The following is an 11,066-nucleotide window of genomic DNA, read 5'->3' on the forward strand; positions in this document are numbered from 1 at the left end:
TGCAGCCTTATATGAGACATGTAATCTTTCACTGATTGGGCCAGTGTGAACACAGGCCTGGTTTTCAGAGTTCTAACAGTCCCGGATGGGAGCTGCTTGTTTTTTTGAAGCAAGTTTTAAGCTTTTTTGCCACCAGAGCCACTGAAGAATGCCTGACCAGCCACAGAGAGAAGCTATGCAGCTGGGTTCTGAATTCCTTCCTTGTCTAGAGATCCAGGCAGGCTGAAATATTTTAGAAAGAGTTGACTTACCAAACTTTCTTTCTCCTGGTTTTCCATAATGTCATTTCATGTACCTATTTTTAAAATGTTTAGTTTTACATTGGATTTTGTGTTTTAAGCCTATAAAAAACTTGATTTAGGATTTCACTGGAGCCTGGCAGAATAATTTAAAGGGAGAATTTCTTGAGAAATGGAAATCAGTACTGGTTTTTCCAAAAGTTTTGTTGAGATTATTTGTGATTGCTCTTATTTTTATAGTGAGTACAGCCCCTCCTTCCCCTTGCCTTCTGCCTCCCTTTTGTATGCATAAGACAGCCTCATTCTGGTGGCCTGTCTTGAAAATCACCATAATGGAATATATATGAGGATTAGGCACAGAAATGTCAGGCCTTATTAAATTTCAGTAGTCAAACTCGCTTTTGTGTTTCCCATTACCTCTCTGGTCTCTGAGACTTTCCAGAGAGGAATAACTCTCCATGTCCCATAGGAATTGTACCCCCTCCCCCAGTTTTAGCAGAACCTTGCCTGTTGTCAGTCATTATTGGAAGACTATGATGTTTTCCACTTTCATTGACTTTTAAAAAATTCTCTTGCAAAGAAGACCTTTGGGTGATTCATGCAATCAAATTCTGTTAGGGAGGAGAAAGTCTAGCTGTCAGTGGTATTATTAAATGCCCGGTGTAAAACCACGGAATCTGGGCATTCATACCCCCTCTCCCCAAGGAGCTCAGTGAGCTTTGGATGCATTACTTTCCTTTATTCATCCTCACAAGGGAACTCGAAGAGGAAGAGGGGGGCCAGGCTTCTTTAAACAATCTTCCTAGCATTTGTAGCTGCTGTAGTATACGTGGTACGATAGTTCCCCCACCGTAATCCACAGTTTTGCTTTCTGTGGTTTCAGTTACCTGCAGGACAGTATTATAAGATATTTTAAGAAACAGAGAGAGACCACATACACATAAATTTTATTAGAGTATATTGTTATAATCGTTCTATTTTATAGTTATTGCTGCCAATCTCTTACTGTGCCTAGTGTTTAAATTAAACTTTATCATAGGTATGTATAGGAAAATATATAGTCTGTATAAAGTTCTGTACTATCTGCAGTTTCAGGCATACCCCTGCAGATAATGGGGGCTACTGTATATACATTGTTTTTCACTCTAGGTGCCTCCAACTAAGTAGAAGTGTGGAGACTCGACAAGGTTTAGAAGGAACCTAAAATAGCTATTAAAGGTAGAGCCACCAGATCAGCGCAGCTGTCAGGGTTTGAAGGCACCCCTGCTTTTGGAGTTGGCAAAGACCTAAGGAATCCACCGCAAGGAGAGAAGGAGGGGGCATGGACACACACAGGTGATTTAGGAGCCTGAGGATACACCTCACTCCCAGGCAAGCTCTCCCACCCTCTGCCGCCAAGGAGAGTGCTGGCACATCTCTCTGGCAGTCTTCCACCTGAAAGAGCTAATCTGCCAGTCATCGCACACTCATCTTCCTGTGGGCTGCCAGGAAGAATCTGGGTCAGTGGGAGTTTACAGCTGTAGGAGCAGCCAGACCAGGTCATGAACTATGGTTCATCTACTTTGCAGAAAAGATTTAATGAATCCTTTAAGGCTATGTTGCCTCTCCCAGGGGTATTTGCATTTATAAAAGAACCAATGAATAAAACCATTATTTTATATGGGAAATTGGCAAATCAAGTGGAGGAGGCATTTAAGGCCTAGTAGATCCCTCACCTAGCCATAGATTATACCAGAAGTGTGGTCGATAACTACTGTACCTATTCAACATGCAGGGCATAGGAACAGCATGGAGACTGGCACGGAGGAGGGCTGAATTCCCAGAGGGCTGCCGCCAACTCAACAGTGAGGGGCTCAGACCCTTCACCTCTGTGGGTGTCAGTGTGCTTCTCTGTAGAATGAAGGGTAGGAAGAAGAACCAGTCCACACCGCTCCTTCCACTACCTCCTTTCCTCATCCCTCTTCCTTCTCTTTCACTGTTGGGGCGGCTGTGTGGATATCAGAGTTCAGCTGTACAAGCCGGAGTGGGAAGTTTTGGCTGATTGCCAGTTTTCTTCAGAATTTCTCTACAAGTTGAGTTAGGGAGCAGCAAGCTGGTGGCAGGGTGGAACCAGTGTTTGTTGTGCTTTCCATAAAATGAGATCCATCTCTTCCAAGCCACCCTTTTCTCCAGTACTGACTAGCTGATCTCCAAGATACCTGATGGTCTAGTTTCAGGATTAGCCCTGTGGTCTGACCCGCTGGCTACTCCAGATGGAACTGTCTCCGGGCTCTTCTGTGTGCTTAGCCTTCCCTCTGGGCAGAAATGCACCAGGGAAAGGACATAACGAAACTGGTTTTATCAGAACAGCCTGCCTGAGAGAGATCAAGCAGGGCACAGGTAAAAATGTTAATAAAAATTAAAAATAGAACCTGCAGAACAGGTATTGCTCTTTTTCAGTTGGCAGAAGCCTGCTGCCAATATCAGAGTGATCCCTACCAATGTGATGAGTGTGGGGAAGGCCATAGAAAGGACCGGCGAATGCTGGCATTGATGTGTGTTATTTTAACATTTCTGAAATCCTGTTCTTAGTCTGCACACCTTGTCCGAGGCTCCGATGTTATCCAGGTGATTCATCATTTAATGCTGTTGGCTTCAACATGGATTTAATGGTAACTAAACCAAGTGCACACTATGTGAAGATCTATTCACTTGGAGGTCCTTCATTTCAGGTCACCAGGTATGCCCCTGGGCTCCTGCCGCAGCTGATCGGGTGCTAGGTGCTGAGGATACACGGTGAGTTCCTTCTCTCCCCTCAGGGGCCGGTGTCTGGATGGGTAACTTTAATATGATGTCGGATACAGAGAGGGCCAAAAGAACATGAAGGAAGGCCCTTGACCTCCCAGGTGGTGAGCTGGAGACCTTGGGGAGATGGAGTGAGGTGCAATTTGCAGGAAGAAAGGAGTTACCCAGGTGAGCGGGAGGAAGGCAATGGCATTCCCAGTAGAGGGAGCTCTCTTTTTGTATATTGTGGACAGGAAGGAAGTGGGAGGTGGAAGGTGGGAAGAAGGTGGTCAGAAGGAAGAAAAGGAATTGCATTCTCTCCCTTTCCTACCCATCTGCACTCTTATTGCTGCAGAAATAGAGAGAGAAAATCCACATCTAGGGATGGTTTTTATCAGCTTAAAGGAGGTAGAATAAATTTGGATTACTGTTTCTAATAGCAACAAAACAAACAAATCAGAAAACCCAAGCTGCATGCAACCTGAATGTCTATCCATAGACATTGCTTAAACAAACGCAGTACATTCATATATATTATGGAATAATATGTAGTTTTAAAAAAAAAATAAGATAGCTTTATATGTAGAGAGATATCCAAGAAATATTAGTAAATAAAAAAGCAAGTCATAGGAAAATATATATAGTGTATACGTTCCCATTTATGTAAAGAAATATATGCATCTTGCTTGCGGTCATGTATTTTTGTGCATCTATATACATGCACATATATAAACACATAGAAAAAGGGTCTGGAAAGATTCTTAACTTCTGGGGAGGGAAGTGGGATTGGAGGATGGCAAAGAAGGACTTTCACTTTCTGCTCAGTTTGCTTCTATATTGTTTATATTTTTACCCGAGAATATATTACTGAGGTAATTTTTTTTTTTTTTTAGTCTGGGAGAAAGCAATTGGAAGAAATGCAAAGCTCTTCAAAGGAGACCTATAAAGTCATCTTTGTTTTGTTCATTCTTCTCATGTTTCTGCATTCTGGGCATTCTCCTAAATTGGGGAGAAACCAAAATGCCCAGAAGTCAAATTCTGCAACTGTCATCATGCAAAATGTCAAATGAGAGAACCAAAGTATGCTGGATTCTATATTGTTAGGAAGGGATGGTTAATTTGATTGACTCTTGGGAGCTATTTTTCTAGCATTAAGTAATTCTAGGGAACCCTTCTGTGATCATCTCTGAGTAAATAAAGAAGTGAAATTGCAATTCAAATAAGGAATCAACTTTAATGCTCTCATAGAGAATATAAGCCAAATTACAGTGTGAATTTAAATTGTAATATGTCAGAGGCACATTATCTCAATGGCAATATTTTCTAAAATGTCTCTTCTTTTTTTTTTTTTTTTTTTTTTGAGACGGAGTTTTGCTCTTGTCCGCCAGGCTGGAGTGCAATGGCTTGATCTTGGCTCACTGCAACCTCCACCCAGGTTCAAGTGATTCTCCTGCCTCAGCCTCCCAAGTAGCTGGGATTACAGGCATCCGCTGCCACGCCCAGCTAATTTTTGTATTTTTAGTAGAGATGAGGTTTCACCATATTGGCCAGGCTGGTCTCAAACTCCTGACCTCAGGTGATCTGCCTGCCTCGGCCTCCCACAGTGCTGGGATTACGGCTGTGAGCCACCGCTCCCAGCCTAAAATGTCTCTTCTTACCCAGCTTCCACCTCCAAGCACACATGCCTCTCACACATCTGTGATTTTGTTATCTAGTACTGAGCCAACAACAAAGCAGAACATCTAGCACCAACAAATATTTAGATGATACACTGTTAAAGCAGCTCCCACTAACACCAGATAGGCTTAGGGGTCATTTTGCTCTTTAGCATCTCCCCTACCGAAGCCTGCAGAAAATTTCTAAGCTTATCTGGTGCCGGTGGGAGCTGAGTTCAACCCCGCTAGACAACAGAGTCCCAGACTGTATGTCCCAGATTCAACCTCTGGTTCATGTCAGATCTAGCAAGAGTTTGGGGCCACCTTAACTTTTCAACTTGCCAGGGATAGAAAATGTGGATGGCCTTTCCCACTGTTTATTTATGTGGGTCAGGTGGCTTCACCTGGGTAGGCTCCCATTTCCTCACATCCGCAGGGGTGCGCACTTTCTAGACCAGAGAATGTGTTTAAACCCCATGTGACCCTTGAGGAAAAAGCTCTAATAGTAAAGAAGATCCTCTGTTTGAAGAGAAGGGCAAGGCAGTCTCACACCAAACAAAGCAATCCATATAAGACCCTTTTCTTCTGCCTCAGGAATTCTTTCTTTTCTTTTCCTTTTTTTTGGTGGGGGGTGGGGGTGGGGGACAGAGTCTCACTCTGTCTCCCAGGCTGGAGTGCAGTGGCACGATCTTAGCCCACTGCAACCTCTACCTCCTGCGTTCAAGGGATTCTCCTGCCTCAGCCTCCCAAGTAGCTGGGATTACAGGCACCACCATGCCCAGCTAATTTTTGTATTTTTATTTTTATTTTTTTTAGTGGAGACGGGGCTTTGCCATGTTGCCCAGGCCAGTCTCGAACTCCTGAGCTCAAGCAATCCACCCGCCTCGGCCACCCAAAGTGTTGGGATTACACTGTGCCCGGCCGCCTCAGGAATTCTCTAAGTGGAGAATTAGTGGTGGGAATATTACACCTGATAGCTCAGAGGTCTCTACATTCAAATTTGTCCAAGGTTTATTACTGGGGTCCCTGGACATAATCCAAAGGGTTCACAGACTAGTTGGACTGGAGGAGGAATCACTATTTCCACTAACCTCTCTCTGAAATTTAGCAAGTTTTCTATTTTAAATATGGTAACATCGCTTCTCGGCCTTTTAGCTAAGATCAAGTGGAGTATCTGTTCTTATCAGTTTAAATATGGTAACAAACTACAGTAGTCTTATTGGTACCTGTGGCTTAGTCACCAATAGAAATCAAGATAGTTTCATATAACATTATAGTTACCCCTGATATCTCAAAATATTTGCCCTGATCACTATTGCAAAATTATGGAAGTTACTTAACTTGCCATTAGATCTTTTTGTATAATGTTTAATAAATAAGAACATATAAAAATCTTTATCATAGACTTTAAAAAATATTTTAATAACTGTATTTCAGTATGCCCAGATGCATTTTTAGCCCAATGTATTTTCTTTTTATAACCCAATTTATTTTCTTTTACTGTTTTATATAAAGATAGTATTCTGAGCGGGATGCATAAACCTCACCAGTCTGCCAAAGGAATCCATGTCCAGTAAAGATTAAGAACCTCAGCTCTAAGTGAGGTTAGAATGGGGTTTGCAAATGTTGCTCAGGGTCTGTGTCAATGTCACTTTATTTAAACATTCCTGAGATTCAGCCTCCAGCTCACTGAGCTCCTCCTAACCAAATATGTGAAGGAAGAAGCTGCATCTGTATAAACATCATCCAGCTAAAGTGTCAGGTTTCCTTCTCTTCTTCACAGTTGTTTGAAGCCAACAGTTAAAGGCATTAAAAGGATCAAATATCCTGTGTGGCTGGAAGAAGAGAAAAGAACTTGGGAATTACAACCCAAGCATTTGGTTTAACTCTGCTACCCTGTTTTATTTGTTTGAATTAAGCGCAACCAATAAGAGCTCAAAAAATGAAAGAATAAGTCATAAACCTGTAAGTTACTGGTTTAATTTTCTCAGTAGGGCATTAGGGCATCACCTAATAGCTGCTTAACAGCTTGATAATGAAGAGTCATGGCTTCTGATCAGTGCCTAGACATGGCGTGACGAATGCATTTTACTGTGATCTGATCCAGTTACCACTGTGCTGGGAAGGGCTCTGAGGCCATCTCCAGGTCTAAGAAGGGGAAAGGTGCTGTGGTAGATCACTGATGCCTGCTATGGTAAAGGGATGGAGCTGTCTGCATGCCCCATAATTACCCAGAGTCCAGCCCTAACTGGTGCCAATGGCCACCTTTACTTGAAACCCAGGTAGAAATATATTCCTGAACGTTCCTTCCATATCTCCCCTCTGTGCTGAATAGAAAGGGTAACCTCAGTTCCTGTAACTATTTTGCCAACTAACTGCATTATATTGATGAACAAGGAGCATGAAACACATGATATTGTACAAAACTGTCTGGGATGCAAAAACATTATAGCACAATTGATGAGAGAGAATTTACTAAAAAATTAATAAATTGATCAAAGAAATGGGATTCCTGTGCTTCTTCCTATTAGTATTACAAAGTTTGACCTCATGACTTCTGCTTGGAAATACTCAAACTCCCAAATCCAGTGCTTACTGACTCAGTTTACCTGGCTGTGTTTCTTTTGTAGGCTCTTATTGGCGGGAGGCAGTGGGAGGTGGTGTTAATGCTACCCTGAACATACAGAGGACTTTCTAAAACACTGTCTCCTGTGATGCCACCCAGCAGGCAGGAGAGTGTCCATTGTAATCATTATTTCTATTTTGCAGATGAAGAGACTGGGGCTCCAGGAATTGACTTTCCCAGAATCCCATTGTCACTTCAGGGCTCTCAAGATGTTGCCTTCCAGAATTCTGCTTGCTCGTATCAGGTTCTCCTAAAGAAAGGAAGCCATTAAACAAGAAAAGAAACCAACATTCCGTTATGGATTAAAAATATGCTGTCATTCACCTATTAGCTCTTCTACATTGGCCAGGATGGAGGCGACATTTCTGGTTTTCTTATCTTTCCTCTTGTTTTAGCAGAATTTGAGGAATCTGCTTAACCATTTGTACTTTGTTCTACTGCCAGTCCAAACAATTTCAATCAATGGATTCCCAAGCCAAGCTTCTAACTACAGCTCACCAGGCATCCTAGTTGGACTGATTTTGTTTTTGTTTTGAGAAATTATGAAATAGGCAAGTTGTCTTACATGTAAGTATTGACCATTTGGGAAAAGCTGTTATTTGCCTTCAGTTAAAATATGCAAGAAAAGGAGATGGATGGGTTTGGGGACTTGCCTTAAACTCAACTAATCAAGATGGTAATTCCTAAGTAATTCATGGTTCCTAGCGGTCTTCTTAATCAGTGGGTGGGATTCCTGGCCTCATATTTTGCCCCAGCTACTAGTCCAATTCTCTGATGTCTGTTCACCCACACCACAGCCCTGGACTCTGGCTGCAAGAGTAGAAATATTCTGTTGTTTCCTCTAATCTTGTACGTTCATTTGTGCATCAACTATGTGCCAGTCATCCTAAAGAAACTTACAGCCAAGTTGAAGACAGACAAGTTAAAGGGCAATTTTATATTAAAAAAGAGAACTCTATGGAGTGCATGTTTGTGAACCCTGGTCTTTGGAATTCAGGGGAAATTTTCTGGAGGAAGGGACATTTAAACTAAGACCTTAAAGAAGAGTAGGAGAAAGCAAGGGGAAGGAGTGAAAGAAGGTATTTGAGGCAGAAGAAAACTTGTGCAAAAGGTAAGTAGGCAAAAGAGTGGGTTCAAGTCTAGAGCAGAGAATGTAAGGGATGGTATAGAGGTGGGGAGAGGTGGGAAGAATATGCCTGGGAAGGTAAACAAGAGCCAAATCATAAACAACCTCACATGTGAACTAAGAATTTGGGGCCACATCCTGAGAGCAATAGGTAGTCACTTTACTATTAATTTGATCATGATTGCTTTGATTGCTCTTTGGAGAATGGAATTAAGAGGAGCAATATTGCAAGCAGGGAGGCCCACTTCAATCCAGGGGAAGCTTTCTGGAAGCCTGAAATATAATGGAGAGAGTAAAGATGGAGAAAAAAGAATTCCAGAATCACCAGGTCAGCATTCCAGTGTGGCAGGTAATTATTGCTAGGTCCTCTTCATTGGATTACCGTTTGATGTTTCTGGCTTTAAGCTGTTTCACTTACCCCTGAGTTGCAGGGACTAAGCATAAATGAGCTCCACTGTTAGAAAGAACAACGGTTGACTAAGCATGGAGAAGGGTTCATTTTAGGTCTCAAGTCCAGTTAACAAGTTCCAAGGTTTGTACATATGTTTCATTATAGACACCAATTATGATGATCAAGGCTGAGACAGATGTAGGAAGTTTATTTTAGGATGTGCAGGGAAGTAAGGAAGCAGAAGAAGCCATCTTAACAGTGGCCAAGCCAAGCTTCATAGAGCGCTGAAATGTCCCTTAAGGCATCACAGTAACCCCAGGGACTCAAGAGAAGTCTGGCAGCCAGCATTTCTCTGCCTCTGCTTTTGTGCCAACATCTCAACTACCAACTCCCTGGACACCTCATAGCTTCTACTGCATCATGGCTTCTGTTTACCACCATGTGTGTGTGTGCTGTTCAGTTTTAGTCTCTACTGCCTCTATTGCTGTAGGAGGGTTTCCCCATACCTTGACACCCTGAGCCCCAACCCAAAGACCTGAAATTATCTTCCCTGATAGCTCAAGGCAGAAAACTCCTTGGGAGAATCGTTATTGGTTTTGTTTGGGTTATTCACCTATCCCTGCTCTAATCACTGAGGCCAGGAGGCTGAGGATACATGTGTAGCCAGCAATTTGGGGATCCCATCTCAACCACATGTCATGGGGAAGAGTTCTCCAAGAAAGTGGTGATCCACTAGCAACCTCTGGCAACTTTTCTGGGAAGAAAAAAATTGCCATTGGCAGGCATTTTGGGCTTCATGGCTTGTCCCGAAGGTAACATTCTTCTAAATATAGGTAACAATGTTAACAACTTCAAGTTTTAACTTTCTCTGCTGGAATATAAGTTTGTCAGGATGTTAGTTTTAAAAGAAATCTTACATCTATGGAACATTCATAAGACTTTGTGCAGAAAGGAATAAAACAAAGACAAATTATTACACGCTATCTTTTTCTCTATCAAGAGTCTTTTAGAAAAACAATGATACCAGATATATTCCTTTGGTTGCAAGCAACAGAAATCAACACTGGCAAACCTAAGCAAAGTAGAATGTACTGGGAGAATATTGAAGGAGTCAGTCACTGGAACATCTGCAGTCTCTGAAGCAGTAATCATAGAAGTGACTGACTTTAAAGCAGGAATAGTATGTCAGAGCATACCCTGAGGATGAAAGAGCTCCAGATGCATACAGGTGGTAGAATTATAAAGAAAAGCAAGAAAATCATCCTCACAACAGTCAGGATAATGGTCACCTTAAGAGTGAAGGCAGAACTAGCTATATTAATTTGTGGGACTCAGAGAAAACTTCAAATGCAGGGCCACTTACTCAAAAATTATAAAAAATTTCAAGAAGGCAACTGCAGACATTAAACCAAGCATGGGACTCTTCTGAGCATGTGCACAGGTCCCAAACCCATGAAGCTATCCGTGAGGGAAGAAGACGGCTTTGACTGGAGAATAGCATACAGAAGGCTTTGGTGGGTTAATAAACTGGACAATGCTGCTACATAGGCATTTGCTTTCGGTTATTTGCAAATCTTTCATGTCACTTTTGCATTTTTCTTTAGTTGCGTGATATTTCACAATTTAAAAAAAACTAACTGTATCTTCTGTCCTTGTGTCAACCATACAATATTGAATATTCCAAGGAATCTGAGTGGCAAAGTTTAGGTCAAGTACCCTTGTCCTGGCTCTGCAGAGGATAATACTACTACTAATAACAACAAAAATGAGAAGGCAAACAAGAAGAGGATGAAGAAGAAGAACAAGTAGAAGAGCTAATATTAGCAGTTGCCACATGTTTTATGTGTTATTTCTAAATTAACTCATCAAATATACTCATAACAACCCTGTGAAACAGAAACTTTTCCCTTCAGCTTTTGAAGTGGGAAATGGGTAGTGTACTTGGACTTTTTGACTACTAAGAGCTCATGCCATGATAGGAGATCATGCTCTAACAGGAAGCAGGGTTTACTGGGATATAGAATGGATTGTGAGTAGCCATGAAATAACAAATGTCTACTACACAGAGGGTCAGAGGACTTTACTACAATCTAGTCCTTCTTCTTTTTTTTTTTTTTGGAGACAGAGTCTTGCTTTGTTGCCCAGGCTGGAGTACAGTGCCATGATCTCAGCTCACTGCAACCTCTGCCTCCTGGGTTCAAGTGATTCTCCTGCCTCAGCCTCCTGAGTAGCTGGGACTACAGGCGTGCACTACCACACCCACCTA

General features: G+C 42.0%; 1 long non-coding RNA gene and 1 pseudogene across 2 annotated transcripts; both read left to right on the top strand.

Annotated features, from left to right (window-relative positions):
* The first annotated feature begins 2,534 nt into the window (after positions 1-2,534).
* Positions 2,535-4,222, top strand: LINC01213 (long intergenic non-protein coding RNA 1213). 2 transcript variants are annotated; one of them, NR_110168.1, is made up of 3 exons: positions 2,535-2,618; positions 2,951-3,014; positions 3,896-4,222. It is a non-coding gene; the product is annotated as a long intergenic non-protein coding RNA 1213 (long non-coding RNA). The 2 variants fall into 2 exon arrangements; NR_110167.1 differs by lacking the exon at positions 2,535-2,618 and adding an exon at positions 2,716-2,846.
* A 1,570-nt stretch (positions 4,223-5,792) lies between these two features.
* LOC124906376 (uncharacterized) lies at positions 5,793-5,932 on the top strand (annotated as a pseudogene).
* Positions 5,933-11,066: the final 5,134 nt, after the last annotated feature.

Source organism: Homo sapiens, chromosome 3 (assembly GCF_000001405.40).
Source record: "Homo sapiens chromosome 3, GRCh38.p14 Primary Assembly".
NCBI classification, from domain to species: Eukaryota; Metazoa; Chordata; class Mammalia; order Primates; family Hominidae; genus Homo; species Homo sapiens.